The following is a 16,645-nucleotide window of genomic DNA, read 5'->3' as shown; positions in this document are numbered from 1 at the left end:
GCGGAGCGATGCTGTCCATCAGAGGGAGAACCCCGCCTCCTGGCGCCCATTGGCGATTAGTAACCTAAACTGAGTCCGAGGAGGTGCCAACCAGCTAAGACGGACCGGGGGCGCCCCCATGTGGCCCGCGTCTGCCCTGCGACGCCCTCATGTGGCTGTAGCTTAGTGCTACTTGGGGGGACCCCCACCGCGATGTATCCTGTGACAAGGGACTTCATCGTTTCTTCATTCTTTCACTGGGCTGCGTATTTAGTCATTCATTCAGCACATCTTTGTGAGCGCCCACAATGTGTCAGACTGTAGTACCTGCGGGTGCTACCGCAATGGACAAGACAGAGGCTTGTGTTACTAGCTTAGCAGTGGAGGACGTGGGATTAAGTCATCGCTGTAGAGTGTAAGGAGCTTTATTGCAGAGGAGGAAGAGTTCCTCGAGCGTACGTGAGGGCGACGGCCAGTGTCCGGCCCTGAAGAACTGGCATTCAAGCTGAAATAGGAAGGATGAGTAGTGAGTGGCGGATTGTGTGTTCCGGGGGAGTGAGGAGGGGAGCAAATACTCTTTGTGTGAAGACCTAGGGGCAAAAGAAACTGATTCACTGGAGGAATCCGAAAGAAGTTCAGAATAGCTTGAGTGTAAGAGGGACTGAAAGGAGTTCTTAGAAGTAGGTGTTGGGGGAAGAAGGAATTTTTTTTGGACTCATGATAAGGCCTTCCTGAGAGCTAGGGTTTGAAGTAGGGGCATGACCTTGGATGATCATGGCTGCTCTGGGGAGCATGCATGGGCAGAGGCCATGGTGGCAGCAGGAGACCAGTGAGGGTGCTGTGCAGTGCGCAGGCAAGGGAAGATGGTGGCTTGGGCTAGCGTGGTGGCCCTGAGGAGGGAGAGAAGCTGGCAGGTGTGAAGTGTATGTAGGAGGTAGAGTTCACAGGAATTTGTGATTGGTTGGTGGAGAGATGTGGTAGGTGAGGACGTCAAGGAGAACAGTAGGTTTCTGGTTTGGGCAAATGGACTTCTGCCCCATTTATTCCACAAACATTTACAAAGTGCAATCAACACTCTGCAACAGTAACTCGAACTTATTGAAAGTTATTTTATACAGCCTCATTTTACAGACAAAACTGACATCCAGAAAGGCTTAGTGACTTTCTCAAGTCACATAGCTAAAAAGTGGCAGAGATGGGATTTGAACCCAGGACTTCATAGCTTTTAAATACATTTCATCAGAAACCTACAGAGGACCTAGGTACTCGTTTAAAACTCAGAATTCTAAGCCACCCTTTCCTACCTCAAATCTTGGAACTCAGAATCTCTGGGGGTTGGGGCCCAGGGTTCTGCATTTTTAACAAGCAGGTGGTTCTGATGCACCTACATTCTGAGAATCACCATCATCGTGCAGTTCTCCCATCCTAACTGGAGAAACCTCTCTCCATGGTCCCTCAGAGCCTTCCCCAGCTATCTTGATTTCTGCAGGCAGAGAGTGAGAAGTTAGATTCTGAATGACCTCAGAAGCAAGACAGGCACACTTAGTCCTCTCACCATGAAGTGCCCTAGCTCTAGTCCTGGAAGTTCCATGAAAGTGAATGAGGTCAGAAATCCAGTGGTCAAGGACATTTCTCTGAAAGAGGTCAGTCCTGCTGGTCAGAGACAGAGGCATGTGTGGGTACATGGGGCTGGGGTCCAGGACTACCATGAGTTAGAGGCCTGGCTTCCAACCCCACACCACCCTCAGCATTTCTGCCACCAAGATCTGTTCTCAAGCCCTAGGGGCTTTCAGAAACATCACTCAGGGCTCCAGACCACAGAAGGGCTCTTGGAGATCATCTTATACAACTCTCCCATTGTAGAGCCGAAAAGCCTAAGGCTCAGAGATGTGTCCCCTTGCCCTGCAGTCCCCCATGCCCCGGAGTGCTGGCTGGGGTTGGACACAGAGATATTTCAGCAGGTGTCCTGGCAGCAACACATCCCCTAAAGCCCCGCTCGTTGTAAGGCGGATCTGTGAAGCCGCACTTCTGTTTGCTCAGCATCTGTGCCAGGCGAGGCCTCACCCTGGACAAACACAGCCAGCCAGGCGGCAGGCACCAAGCTCCTTTGTTCTTGGGTCTGATAGCAGAGGCAGCAGGGCCAGCAGGTAACGGAGGGCCTGTCCTCACCGGATGTTGGCACTGTGGTTCCCACGGGAATGCTTCCTGGAGAAGACTGGGGTACTGGCTATAACAGCCCAGGGCAAGAAGGTGACCACCTGGCAAAAGAAGGACTTGGGAGGGGGCAGAAGGAAGGATGAAGACTGAAAGCTAGGCAAGATAAGGAGAGCTGGGATGCCTCATTTCTTTGGGGATAGGTGGGCAGAAGGTCCTACCCTTCCTGTTTCCAGGCTGAGGCTGAGGTCCCAAGGAACCCAGGGAGCAGGCTCTGACCTTTGATTTTGGCATAAAAGGGGAACATCCGGACCGAGGTTGACGTGTCTTTTTCTGAGCCCATCATTCTTTGCCCATCTGAGTCTAGGAGGAAACTTGATGCAGAAGTAAGAGCTTGGGCTTTGGCGTCAGAGAGACCTAAGTCCAAATCCTGGCTCAGCCATTTACCAGCTCTGGGACTTCTGATAAGAAGCTGAACCTTTCTGAGTCTAAATCTCCGCATGAATGAAAGTGGGATGGTAATCATGCCGTCCCTGCAGGGCTATTGTGATGCTCTGGCCAGGGAGCCAGGAGCACTGCAGGAGCCTGATAAATGGTCCTGTGATCATTAATACCCAGTCCTCATATCCACTCTGGAAACACTGTCTGTTTGGGGGCAACTAGAGGAATGTGTGTGGATTGAATTGGTGCTTAGCGCTCTCATGGCTATAACCAACTTCAGATTCTCTTTTTAAAAAGATGATAAAGTATCTATCCCTGGGTTCGTGGGTTCATGGGTTAGGGACAGCTGCAAAAAAGACAAAACTGGGAGGAAGAGAGCCTTGGGCAATAAGCAATGAGGGGATTGGTTTGATGAGTGCTTTGGGGGCTTCTGTAGAGGATTAGGGGGAGGCTGCAGGAGAGAGTTGATGGTGACGTGGCCAGGGTTGTAGCACAGTGGACCAAGCAATAGGGTGGGCAAAGATGTCATTTGCTGGGAAGGGAAGGGAAAGACTTGGGGAGGAGCAGGTTTTGTTGTGCGTGAAGCAGGGGTGATTGGGAGGGGGGACTGAGAGTGTCGTGCTGGACTGGCTAAGTTGGGGAGGCCTGTCAGACATCCAAATGCTCACACTGAGCAGGCAGCTGGCTTTCTCGCTGCTCCCACCCTCTCCACTGGCCCCCTTGCTTGCCCTCTAAACAGCCTCAACTCTGGTCTCTCTGTCTCTTGGAGAGTCTTTGCATTGGCTGTTCCCTCTGCTGGGACGCTCTTCCTCCATCCTCACAAGGAGGCCTCCTTCTCAGTATCTAGGTCTCAGCCTAAATGTTGCCTGCTGGCTGCCTTGATCTCCTCCCTCCTCTCCCACACCATCACTGCCTATCCCATTGCACTATTTTATTTTCCTTATACTTCTTAGGACTAGCTGGGATTATATTATTTAGTCATTTGTTCACATATATATTGTTTGTCTCTCCTTCTAGAATGGAAACTTCCTGAGAGCAGGAGCTGCTCTTGTTTATCACTGAATCTCCAGTATAAGGACCAGTGCCCTACATGAAGGAGCCTCTCAATAACAATTTAATAAATAATTAGTAGTTACAGTAAATATGTGGTGGTCTTGCTGCCATTTCCTCTTCCCAAGTGTGTGCCAGACATTGCTAATAGATCAAAGACTCTTTCCTCCACGTGATGCTCCCGACAGCCCTTGCCAATCTATCAGAGTTGGGCATGAAGTTAAATCTACCTGCCATCGCTGTGGTAGAGAAAGCTTCCATGCTCACTACCTGTGTGACCTTGTGTGAGTCTTTTAAAGCTCGTTGGGCCTCGATTCCCTCATGTGATGAATCATACAAGATGTAGGGGTAGACCTGCCACCCCTTTTATATCTGGGCCCCCAGTCTAGAGCCTGGATACCACTGTGAGGACATGCCCTATCCCCCACACAGGGGCTCGGTGCCCGTCTTTGAGTTACAACCACTCCTGGGCTTTCCTCTCCTGCTTCCCTGTTTTCTCACCAGCCCCAGAAGGCAGTGCTGAAGAGACCTTTGATATGTGGTCCAAAAAAACTCTCATTTTCAGATAAGGAAACTGAGCTAAGAAGAAACGTCAATGGAGCCAGAAACTCAGCAGAGACCACTTGTCCACACCCAACACTTCAGCAGCAGCCATCGCTGTCCCCCAGCTCTGCCGGGGCACCTCTCAACACCTCCTCTCAGTAATGGGGAGATGGGGGCTGCAGCTCCTTACACCCGGGCACATTCCCAAACCCCAGGAGGTGAGCCGCCTGGCCCCCCTCCAGGCCCCAGGCAGCTGGCGGGAGAATGATGCCCTATGGATTCCTGGCCCTCTTTCCCACTTCCGAGCTGCCCATTCCAAGGAGGTGAGAAAAGGGGCAGGCCTCTTCCTCCACCGTTGCTTTCGGAAATTGCCTCAGGGTTTTTGGGCCAGGGTGAGGCTCTTAGCTGTTCCAAAGCCAATTAATGCCCTGTTGGCAGCTTCTCACCTTCATCTTCTTCCACTCCAGTATGTATCATCCCCTCTACTCTATTGAAGCCGTTCTGCGGTCGGTACCCTCTCTGACAAGAGCTCAGTTCTGGCTTCCCTTAAGGAAGGGTGGAGGAGGAAATGGGTGAGTATTGACTAAACTTCTCTGTGATCTTAAATGAAGGTGCTTTAAACATCTCCCAGAGAGGGAACCGCTTCAGTTGCCTTTGAGCCTGCCTGCGCAGAGCCCTTGTTTGCAAACTGTCTTTTCTTGTGGAGAAGCCGTGCTTCCTTTTCTAGGAGCTATTTGGGGAAACACTAATGTCTGCAGGAACAGAAAGCCAGCTCCCTGCTCAGGAGGACAGGGAGGATCCAGAGGGATTCAAAAAGCGCTAATTAAGGGCCAATATCCATGGACATTTGGGGAAAGTTTAAAAATGGAAAAGACGTGGGCTTTCATGTTTAATTAGGAAGATGGGAACATCGGGAACTAAGGGAAATTTTTAGGAAGACAGATTTTAACTTGATACTTAATATTTCAGCCCATTTATTGAACGGTCATCATATGTCAGGTGCAGGAATGCAACTGTGAACCGCTAGATAAGGCCCCTGTCCTCAGGGAGATCACAGTCACAGGGAGAAAGGTGAGTGTCAGGCATTTCCGGACAATCACAGGGTGCCATGGGAACACAGGCACAGATGGGCTACCCAACCCATTGTGCCAAATACAACTCTGGGAGAGGGGTCAGGGAGGGTTTCCTCTGGAATAGACCCCGCACAGAGACCTGGCTGAGGCCTGGAGAATAGGAGGACTTGGGCAGGAGAGGATGACGGAGAAGGCCGAGCGGCAGGGGTCTCAGCCCTAAACACGCACGGAATCACCTGGGGAGGTTTTTAGGAAGAAGGACGCCACCCGCAGAGATACTGGTCTGCAGTAGGCCCTGGGCAGGGGTGCGTTTCCAAAGCCCCCAAGGTGGTTCTGACTCTGGGGGGAAGGGGAAGGGAAGTCTCGAGAACCACTGCATCATGAGGTACGTGTTGGAGACAGGGACAGTCAGGTGGGCTTAGCAGCGGCCACAGCGCACAGGGCTTTATTAGCTGTGTTAGGAGTTTCCAGTTCAGCCCAAGAGAGACACGAACTCCTCGATGGGTTTTAAGATTTCAAGCAGAGGCCTCAGTCAGTCACAATGCTTTATAAAACAAAACCTTTTAGGAAAATCTCAGTTACCTCTTTCTTCTCCCTCCCTCTCCCACTACTGATGCAGAAGATCCCTGGAGAGAGGTTCACTCAGGGCCACCAGGGCCAACTGGACCTTCAAGGTCTCCTGGTTCATCTCCTTCCCAAAGGAGGCCTCCTCGGGGCTTCTCCTTTCCTCTGCAGAGCTAAGGCCTTTGCCAGGCCCTGCCCTGTGTCTCTGGGCAGCACGGGTCCTTTGCACCTGCTTCCAGTGGGGAATGGCCATCTGAATGTTGGGCCCCTTCTCCCCTTTTGTCCCCCCTCTGCCCAGGTCCTAGGTCTGGCCAGGTTCCCCCTGGGTTTCTTTTTTTTTTCTTTTTTGAGATGGAGTTTTGCTCTTGTCGCCCAGGCTGGAGTGCAGTGGCGCAATCTTGGCTCACTGCAACCTCTGCCTCCTGGATTCAAGTGATTCTCCTGCTTCTGCCTCCTGAGTAGCTGGGACTACAGTGGCACCCACCACCACGCCTGGCTAATTTTTGTATTTTTAGTAGAAATGGGTCTTCACTATGTTGGCCAGGCTGGTCTCAAACTCCTGACCTCAAGTGATCCCCCCGCCTCGGCCCCGCAAAGTGCTGGGATTACAGGCTTGAACAACCACACCTGGCCGCCCCCTGGGTTTCTTTCCCAGAACAGCCAGAAGTGGCTGGCACATGACCTGGCCCAGCGCGCAGTACAAATGAGGCAATTCCTTTACCCTGGTTTCTGAAGCTGCCCCTCCTGGGCCAGGCCTAACAGCCTCTTCCTTCAGAATGCCTTTTGTCGGGCCTGTCTGGGTCCCTCCTGCTACACACAGAATCTTCGCTGCACCTCCTGCCACCAGCTGGAAGGAGAACAGCACAGTGAAAGGAAGAAGGCCTTAGAGAGGGATTTGGGTTCGAGTCCTTGACCCCATTTCCCATTAGCTTTGTGAACTCCAGCAAGTCACCTATCTCTCTCATTCTCAGTTTCCTCATTTGTAAAATAATGGCACCAACCTCACTGGACAACTGCGAAGAATGAGTGAGAGAAACATGTAGAAGCCTGAATGGAGTACCTAGCACATAGTAGGTCTTCAGGCAATGGTAGCACAATTTACTATCATTCATTACTGTTAATTATTGTTACTCGTGCTGGGTGCTTTGCCAATGATAGGATTTCTTTGAGCTTATGTTCCCTTTTGTAAAATACGATGGGCCAACCAGCTTGTAGGGCTGATGTGAATTCCAGCACGTAGGCAGTTTCAGAGACTTTTAAAGACATTTTATTAGATCTGGAGGCTACTTATGGGCCAAGAAAATGCTGAATATCCAACAGACCCAGCAGCCGTTCCGACCTGCGCTTAGTTTTTATTTTTATTTTTTGAGACTGAGTCTTGCTCTGTCACCCAGGCTGGAGTGCAGTGGTGTGATCTCAGATCACTGCAACCTCAGTTTCAAGCGATTCTTGTGCCTCAGCCTCCCAGGTAGCTGGGATTACAGGCACCCGGCACCAGGCCCAGATCATTTTTGTATTTTCAGTAGAGAGGGGGTTTCACCATGTTGGCCAGGCTGGTCTCCAACTCCTGACCTCAAGTGATCCTCCGCCTCAGCCCCTCAAAGTGCTGTGATTACAGGTCTGAGCTGCTGACCCAGCCCAACCTGTGCTTTGGTTGCAGAGGTTTACACCACTGCCTGACTGGCAGATTGACAAAGAAGTCTTCTAAATGCATGAGGGTGAAGCCTGGGAACTGCTGTAACAGGCCCCATCGTCTGCCATGCAGCGCCATAGGAGCAAAGCCCTAGATCCATATAGTATCTGAATGGTCTAGGACTAGATCTCCCCAGGGACAGACGCTCGTAAGTGATCATGACTCTAGAGTCGAAGCTCTGCTCTGTGCATCTCTTTCCTCCTTTCCTTCATTCACTGAGCAGGGGTTAAACAAGGGAAAGCATCTATTCAGTGGGATTTCACCAGAGGACCTGGGAATGGCCAAATCTTGGCCTCCAGTGATCCCTCTTTCCGTAAACTTCCCAAGGCTGTGAGGGTAAAAATAAACGAGAAACCAAAGCGCCCCTTTGTTACAAGTTTGAGTGACTGTGTGATTCCCCAAGGCAGGCTGCTTTTGGCACAGGGTGGGCCATGTGCTTCAGCCTCACAGCCCAGATTGGGTCTTACCAAGGACTGCAGCCCAAATGAGGATCCCTGCCAAGTGCCCAGGCACTCTGTGGGAAGACAAGAGAGAGAAGATGCCAGCTTGCAAGAGAGCCCAGTCTGTCTTCCTAACCCAGTGGGCCTGATGAAGGAAGCTGAAGAAGGACCACAGAAATGTGGGTCAGTTTCATACACTGATTGTGATTCTGTCCCTGTCTACGCCTTGGAAACTCACAGTCAATCCACATCCCTGGAAAAGGTGGGGCACAGGAAGAGAGTGAGAGGGGGAGTTTCTACACCTCCTACAGGGATACAACAGTGAGCATGGTGGGCATGGTCCCTGTTTTCAGGGAGCTTACAGTCCAGCAGGGGCGATCGTCACGGACATGATTTTGTTATTGCAAGGTAAGAAGTCCTGTCCTGGAAAAGTGTGGGAGCCTATGAAAACATTCTTGGGAGGCCAGGCAAGGCTGTGCCGAGGAACGGCTGTGGATGCTAAAATGTTAAGAATGACTTACCCTGGCCGGGCGTGGTGGCTCATGCCTGTAATCCCAGCCCTTTGGGAGGCTGAGGCGGACGGATCACCTGAGGTCGAGACCAGCCTGGCCAATATGGTGAAACCCCGTCTCTACTAAAAATAAAAAATTAGCTGGGCTTGGTGGTGGGCACCTGTAATCCCAGATGCTTGGGAGGCTGAGGCAGAAGAATCGCTTGAACTAGGCAGGCGAAGGTTACAGTGAGCTGAGATTGAGCCATTGTACTCCAGCCTGAGTGACAATAGTGAAACTCATCTAAAAAAAAAAAAAAACAATGACTTACCTGGGTAAGGCAAAGTTGGGGGAGTAGACAGGGAAGGAAGAGGCAGACAGAATCAGACTCATGCAAGGAAAGAATGAGCTACTGATGCTTTCTCACTTGAGAAGGCTTCCCTGCCCCTAAATGCCATGATGCCCAGGCTCCGTCCTCAGGCCTTTGCCAGCCTCATACTATACCACGCCATTGGGGGAATACCAGCTCCACCTATGGCTCTCTCCCATGCTCCACACCCCACGGACCCACTGAACACTGGGCGTTTCCACTTGGGTGTCCTGCAGGCACCTCAAATCCAACATTTCCAAAATGAAACTCCTCTCTCTCCCACCTCCACTGCCACCGCTTCCTCCTCCTGGGCTTTGCACCTCAGTGAAGGACAGTTCCATCCACCCACTGCCCAAACCAGAAGCCTGAGGCCAATGTAGACCCCACTCCTTCCTCCCTTCCCAGTCCTGTGAGTTCTCAATCGTGACAGATTTCTTCTCACACTCTCTGGCATCTACTGATTCATGTCCTCCTGTCATCGTATCTACTGTCTTGGGACAGGCTAGTCCTTTCCTCTCTTGCCTGTTTGACTGTAGTGACCTTCTAACAGGTCCCCAAACTCTTAACCACTGTGTTATTTTGTTAAATTACGATTTGTGATCAAATGAGGTGTCCCCACCAGGCACCCATCGTGATTGGGTGGGGAGCAAACACAGTGATTAAGATGTGGTACTGCAGTCAAGCTAGTTGGGCTGAAGTCCTGTCACTCACTGTCACTGTGATGTTGACAAGTCCTGCCCCCTCCCTAAGCCTGTCTCCTCACCTGGAAAATGGAGCTAGTGGTGCCTGAGAGCTGCTGGTTTTGTCTGTCCAAAATATACTTCCCTCCTTCTCACCCTTCCTTTGAGTTAGTGGCCCCTCCTCAGCTCCGCATGGTGGGGTGGTCAATCACAGAACCTGATCCCTGATCCCAGGGGCAGGTACCGGCCCGCGTTAGTCCTGGGAACTGGACTTCCGGGGCAGTCACAGGGACTGAAGGGGGTTGGTCCTGGGTCGGCAGAGCAGCAGGCTTTGGTCCTGCCCCAGTCTATCCCGAAAGCGGCTGTTCGTCTTTTCCTTCAACTGTCCCGTGTCCTTCCAACACTTTCTCTCTCTGCCTCCCTTTATCTCCTCAGTCTCTCCTCTTCTCTTTCCCTCCCACCCTTTCTCTCTTTCTGTGCTTAATTTAGGGCCTGTTTCTGATTCTAAAGCCTAAAATCCACATAACAGCACTGTTGGCAGGAGGCAGTGGGGCAGTGCCCAGGGAGTCTGGTTCCCAGAATGTTAGCTACTGCTGTGAGGGCCACCACCCAGTCATCCCAGAGCCAGCCTGATGGGAGAGGGCCCTCTGTGGGGCCGCTTAGCGGACCACGGACCCCCAGCAGATGAGCAGGGGTTGGCTGCTGACTCCTGGTCCTGCACGGGACCTGGCCTCTGGGTGTCCCCAGTGAGGGTCCATTTGCTGCTGCCTCATGCTCAGAGCCTGCAGATCAACCGCTCGCGGTCCTTTCTGAGGCAGTGGTCTTTGTAAACCTGCCCAGCCCAAGCTCCTCAGCCTGTGGTTGTTGGAGATTTCAGTTGTTCCTCTCACGGGAGCCCTCCAGGTCTCCAGGTCAGAATGTGTCCTCCTAGAGGCCCCTCAAGCTCCAGTGATTTTCTCCTGGATGTCTGTTGTTTTTTCCTCTTCAGGGCCACCTCAATTGCCCCACTTTGGGGAACTGCTGTACCCTCACTCCAATCATGGCATTCTAGTGGACTCTCTAGTCACTGTACCCCACCCTGTGGCCACACGGGTAATCAAGGGATGGGGGAAGAGACCGTGGAGCTGCCTTCATTTCCAGAGCTGCAATGTTGCCAGTTGGATTGCTGGTGACCATCTTCCCTAACATGGAGAACATTCATCTACAGTAACAGAAAAGAAAAGAAACAGAGAAGAATTCAGGGACAAAAAGAGATGAGACAATATCATCTGAATTCCTCCATCCAGTCTGCTTCTGGGCCCAACCACCTCCAGGTGAAAGACTGACTCCGTTCTTTATTTCACAAGCTTTTACTGAGCTCCCAGTGCAGGAAGGAGAATGCAGAAGAGTAAGGTAGTGTCACTGTCCTTGGGGGAGTGATTGTGCTGTGACAGACATATGTACATGTGCATGGATGCAGATACACATATGCACACACTCATGGGGGTAACACATGGGGCACAAAAGCAAAAGTGTGCAACTCTCATCTGGGCAAACATCTGGGAGGCGGTGGCTCCACAAAGACTTCATGGAGTTGGTGGCCCCAGAGGAGTCTTGAAGCTCCATTGGCAAGAGCAATCCTCAATGGGCCTGCCCTTCCAAGTAAGAGCCTAGGTTTCCAAAGCTGCTTAGTTGGAAATCCTTTGTGGACCTGTTGCTAAGAATAAGCCCTTGTCACATGAGCACACTGCTGAGCTGAAGGCCTTCTCTCAGAGGTGGCACAATACTGGAAGGGAACCATCGAATGCGGATGCCCTGAGCTGTCACCCCCACAGATTCCCATTGTGTCCCATCATTTCCTCCGGAAGTTTCAATGTTGGAAGGCCGACCTGACCTACCTCTTCAGGTTGAACAAATGGCCCAATTATCTGTGTACGATCTCAGATTGTCTTGAGCTGAATGGATGGGAATGGGGGGGCGGCTGTCTTGAAAAGAAAATGCCAGAGGGAGTCCAGCCATCCGCAAGCTGTTAGCTGGAGCCGATTGCCCACAAAGGATCCCTTTGTTATTCCAGGAGGTGTTGTCACAAGAGCTTGGCCACAGCTCTCGAAGCACATCCAGGAACAGTTCTAGTGAGAGCGTTGGCAGGGAGCTCTGTCTGGTGGCCTGGAACAGATTCTAATCTTGAGGAGACTGGGAGGGGTAACACCCGCCAACCTGCTTAGCACCACCTGCCCGGGAGCTGGCCGTCCCATGGGCAGTGACCAGGGAGCATGGCCAGCACTCCGCAGTGATGGGGCCAGAGCTTCTCAAGGAAAGGGCTTGTGAGTTTCTGGCTAGCTTCTTCTCTGAAAGCTTCCAGGGGCTCCTGCTTCCATCTTAAACAACTGTGGGACAATAGCAGAAACAATGGCAAGTGTTCCCCTGTGGTTTGTATAACAGGCTCTCCATCATTCAGTCTTCCCCACGTTGGCCACAGCAGAGTATCTGTGGATAGGAAATTGATGTGAATTCCCACCCTCCTACAGTAGGTGGCCATATAAATTATCTTTCAAGCCTGAACACCTTGAAGAGTCAAAGGTGGTGCTATTAATAATTACACTGGGACAACTGGCCTGAATTGGGACCACCTTGGGCAAATCTAGGAGTTTGGGCTCCCTACTTAGTCCTTTAAACAAAAGGTCAAGACGAAAGGATGATGCCTTGAGGCAGATTGTTGGTGGAGATGGCCAAGAAACCTTTCCAAAGGCCTCTTTTGCTTCATGTCTTTCACTCCATGTTTTGCAACAGGATGTTCTGAATCAATATTGGCTCAGCTTTGCCTCAGTGACCTCCATCCAGGCTTTGCCGAGGATGTCACAGCCAAGAACATGGTCTAGCTGTAGTTCTCTGTGCAACTATTCTCCCAAAAGGTTGTTAGGGACTGTATAAAGAATATAGGCTTGTGGCTGGGTGCAGTGGCTCATGCCTGTAATCCCAGCACTTTGGGAGGCCGAGGCAGACGGATCACCTGAGATCAGGAGTTTGAGACCGGCCTGGCCAACATGGTGAAATCCCATCTCTACTAAAAAAAAAAAAATACAAAAATTAGCAGGGCATGGTGGCGGGCACCTGTAATCCCAGCTACTCTGGAGGCTGAGGCAGGAGAATTGTTTGAACCCAGGAGACAGAGGTTGCAGTGAGCCGAGACCGTACCACTGCACTCCAGCCTGGGAGACAGAGCAAGACTCTGTCTCAAAAAAAAAAAAAAAAAAGAATGTAGGCTTGTACATGTGAAATGTGGCTATACTAAGTGTGAGTGAGGGCACAGAGCAACAGAAACTGGCACACGCTGGCATGAGGGTAACCTGCATGACAGACGGGAAAAGCACCATACCCTCAGCCCAGTAACCACCCCGGGTGTACACCCTTGGGAAAGTCTCACACATGTGCAGGATATCAGAACAAAAATCGTTGTAGCAGCATTATCTATAACAGTAAAAAACGGGAAGCAAGGCCGGACGCGGTGGCTCATGCCTGTAATCCCAGCACTTTGGGAGGCCGAGGCGGGCGGATCACGAGGTCAGGAGATCGAGACCATCCTGGCCAACACGGTGAAACCCCGTCTCTACTGAAAATACAAAAAATTAGCCGGACGCGGTGGCGGGCGCCTGTAGTCCCAGCTACTTGGGAGGCTGAGGCAGGAGAATGGCGTGAACCCCAGAGGCGGAGCTTGCAGTGAGCCGAGATTGCACCACTGCACCCCAGCCTGGGAGAGAGCAAGACTCTGTCTCAAAAAAAAAAAACGGGAAACAACCTGAAACTTCATCAGCAGAGTCATGGATTTTGAAAAGCAGTAACAATACACAAATTAGAGATATATGTATTCACATGGATAAACGTCACAGACAATTTTAAGAGACAAAAACAAGATGCAGGAGGAGGATTTCTTTCCCATGATGCTGTCTCTACAAGGCTGAAAAACATGCCATCAGATGCAACGTACTGGGTATGGAATCTTGCATGTATGGCAAAGGTATATAGACATAGATGAAAATGATCAACACAAATTCAGGACAGTGGTTGGAGGGGAGAGAGGTGAAGAGGATCAGGGGGGAATACAGACAGCTATACTCTAATAATTTCCTTTTCCTTTTTTCTTTTTTTTTTTTTTTGAGATGGAGTTTTGTTCTTGTTGCCCAGGCTGGAGTGCAATGGCGCAATCTCGGCTCACTGCAACCTTCACCTCCCAGGTTCAAGCGATTCTCTTGCCTCAGCCTCCCCAGTAGCTGGGATTACAGGCATGCACCACCACGCCTAGCTAATTTTTTGTATTTTTAGTAGAGACAGGGTTTCATCATGGCCGGCTGGTCTTGAACTCCTGACCTCAGGTGATCCGCCCACCTTGGCCTCCCAGAGTGCTGGGATTACAGGCATGAGCCACAGTGCCCGGCCAATAGTTTCCTTTTTCACTTGGGCAGTGGATATGCAAGACTCATTCCAGGCTTTTGTATGAGCTAGGTCTGCATTCTAGTTCCAGTCCAGTCCTTCATTTCACATGGCCTTAGATAGACTATGTAACCGTTTCCTTCTCTGTAATGGGGGTACTCAGTTCCCATTTCATAGGGTGGCTGTAAAAATCCTTTCATGTTTTGTAAGGATTTATTTTGTTGCCTACATAAAGGTGTGATCTTGGCTCCTTCTGCAATAAACCCTGACAGCAGGTGCTCCGCAAAGGAAGACGACTGAGCGGGTGCCACAGCTGTACTGGTGGCCTGGTGTACTGGGGTGCAGCTAGGCCTGGTGTGACGTGACCATTTGCAAAGACACCCCCAGCCCCGCCCTGGTGTTTTATGGCCAGGTGCACTGCTCAAACTATTTCTCCTTGTTTCCCTTTCTCTCACTCCCTCCTTCTTTTTTCTCCTGCTCATTCACAGGACTAGAGAGGCAGATCCATGGCCACCAAGCTGTTAAGCGGCAAAACTGGGGATTCGAATCCTGGTGTCTCAGAGATGAAGCACTTCCCAACTAAGCCAGGGGCCCATGACTGTAGTCACCTAACTACCTGGGAATCTTTAAGAAACACCAAAGCCGCCGGGCGCGGTGGCTCACGCCTGTAATCCCAGCACTTTGGGAGGCCAAGGCAGGCAGATCACGAGGTCAGGAGATCGAGACCATGCTGGCTAACACGGTGAAACCCGTCTCTACTAAAAATACAAAAAATTAGCCAGGCGTGGTGGCGGGCGCCTGTAGTCTCAGCTACTCAGGAGGCTGAGGCAGGAGAATGGCGTGAACCCAGGAGGCGGACGGAGCTTGCTGTGAGCCGAGATTGTGCCACTGCACTCCAGCCTGGGGAACAGAGCGAGACTCTGTCTCAAAACAAAAAACAAACAAACAAACAACAACAACAACAAAAAACAAAGAAAAAAGAAACCCCAAAGCCTGGGCCCTGCCCTCACAATCTCTGGATACTCTGACCCCGTGGGTGTGGGAGTTTTCAGACCTCCCTGGGTAATGCTGATGCCCAGCCAGGGCTGAGCTCTCCTACACTCCAGTTCCTGCATGCTCTGCCCTTTGCAATACCCCGTTGTCCTCGTGGCGCTCCTGCTATGAATGAGCCAGCTCCCTCTAGTCTGTGAACTTCCTGACAGCAGAGTTCACGTTTTTCATCTTTATGTCCCCAACATGCAGCACAATCTCTGGCACACTTTTGGAAGAGTGCTTAGAACTCTGCAAGAGAGAGGAACTGAGACTGAGATGAGGAAGTTTCGGGGAGGCAGACAGACTTGGCCTGCCCAATACATGAAGTGTTGACCGAAAGGAAGGGCTGCCCACCATGTATTGAGCTCCCCACTGGAAGAAGTAATCAAGAAGAAGCAGAAGCTGATGCTTCCTAAGGGACTACTGCCTATGTTCAGATTCTATTTGTTTCTCTCCACCATCACCAAAGTGAGCATTTCCACCTCACAGTTCTTATTCCTAGAGGCACAGAGTCTCCTACAGGAAAGCAACAGGGAAATCTACTTCAGCCTCCAGCCAACCCTGTGCAGAAATCCCCTCAGCTGCAGCTCCATCCTCTCTGTAGTGGGGACCTTATTCCACATCGCGAAGTCAGCTTGGACAGCTCTGATGACTAGAAAATTCCTCCTTTCTTGGGTCAAGGTTCATGCTCTGCAACTCCTGTCATTTGGCCCTGGTTCTGCCCTCTGGAGTGGCATCATTCCTTCATCCCACTCATAGGGTTGCATAGGCTGCAGAAAGGACTTTGGATTTTATGTCAAGTGAAATGGGGGCCACATGAAGTATCATTAAACCAGGGGGCAGGGATGGCAACGTGATTTGATTTCTGATTTCAAAAGAACACTGTGGGCCAGGTGCGGTGGCTCCTACCTGTAATCCCAGCACTTTGAGAGGCTGAGGCGGGTGGATCACCTGAGGTCAGGTGTTCGAGACCAGCTTGGCCAACATGGTGAAACACCGTCTCTACTAAATACAAAAAATTATCTGGGTGTGGTGGCGGGCACCTGTAATCCCAGCTACTTGGGAGGCTGAGGCAGGAGAATCGCTTGAACCCAGGAGGCGGGGGTTGCAGTGAGCTGAGATTGCACCATTGCACTTCAGCCTGGGCAACAAGAGCAAGACTCTGTCTCAAAAAAGGAAAAAGAAAAGAAAAGAAACCCACTGTGTTACTGTGTGGAATCTGGATTACAGGGGAGTAACAGGAGAACCCAGCCGATGGGTTGGGAAGCTCCTGGAATCATTCAAACAAGAGATGATGGTAGCTTGGGCAGTGGTGCTAGCAGGGAAGATGGATTTGGGATGTGTTTTGGGTACAGAGCCAGCAAGACTTGCTGATGGATTGGATGTGCATATGCTAGTATTTGCCTAGTATAAGAGAATCTTGGCCTTATGTGTCATCTTTATTAACAAGAAATAGCTAAATTTAAAATATTCGTATTTTCGTATGCAGAGGATGGATAATTTAATCTATTCATGATTACTGAGATCGCTTTTGTTTTGATTTCTATCTCTGCGTTGTTGTTGCTTTTCTGGTTGTTATCTTTATTCTCATTCCTGATTTTCTAGATTTATTGTCTTGTTTCTTATCTCTTCCCCTATTTTCTTTTCCCCTTTTAAACAAGTTACTTGTAACATATCTGACATACAAGCATTCATGTCTTTCTTCCCTTTCTACATGGATAATAAGGG

The 16,645-nt window shown here is 50.7% G+C and overlaps 3 long non-coding RNA genes across 3 annotated transcripts in view, besides 1 other annotated feature; 2 read left to right on the top strand and 1 right to left on the bottom strand.

Annotated features, from left to right (window-relative positions):
- Positions 21 to 210: a silencer, noted in NCBI's record as "silent region_14968". NCBI's record gives its function as "represses an Ori minimal core promoter by ATAC-STARR-seq in GM12878 lymphoblastoid cells {active_cell/tissue: GM12878}" and the evidence as "EXISTENCE:reporter gene assay evidence [ECO:0000049][PMID:35858748]".
- On the top strand, positions 843 to 3,716 carry LOC124909469 (uncharacterized). The gene is made up of 2 exons (XR_007096194.1): positions 843 to 2,229; positions 3,592 to 3,716. It is a non-coding gene; the product is annotated as an uncharacterized LOC124909469 (long non-coding RNA).
- A 916-nt stretch (positions 3,717 to 4,632) lies between these two features.
- On the top strand, positions 4,633 to 14,837 carry LINC01840 (long intergenic non-protein coding RNA 1840). The gene is made up of 2 exons (NR_046593.1): positions 4,633 to 4,739; positions 14,374 to 14,837. It is a non-coding gene; the product is annotated as a long intergenic non-protein coding RNA 1840 (long non-coding RNA).
- Positions 8,688 to 16,645, bottom strand: part of LINC01839 (long intergenic non-protein coding RNA 1839) — a 76,964-nt gene continuing 69,006 nt past the window's right edge. Inside the window, exons 7-8 of the long non-coding RNA XR_924788.3 lie at positions 11,356 to 11,944; positions 8,688 to 10,679 (exon numbers count right to left, since the gene is read on the bottom strand). This is a non-coding gene — a long non-coding RNA (long intergenic non-protein coding RNA 1839). The remainder of the gene's footprint in view (positions 10,680 to 11,355; positions 11,945 to 16,645) is intronic.

This window comes from Homo sapiens, chromosome 3 (assembly GCF_000001405.40).
Source record: "Homo sapiens chromosome 3, GRCh38.p14 Primary Assembly".
Taxonomy (NCBI): Eukaryota; Metazoa; Chordata; class Mammalia; order Primates; family Hominidae; genus Homo; species Homo sapiens.
Note: the sequence above shows the minus strand (reverse complement) of the source record. Positions and strands in the feature narration are given on the sequence as shown.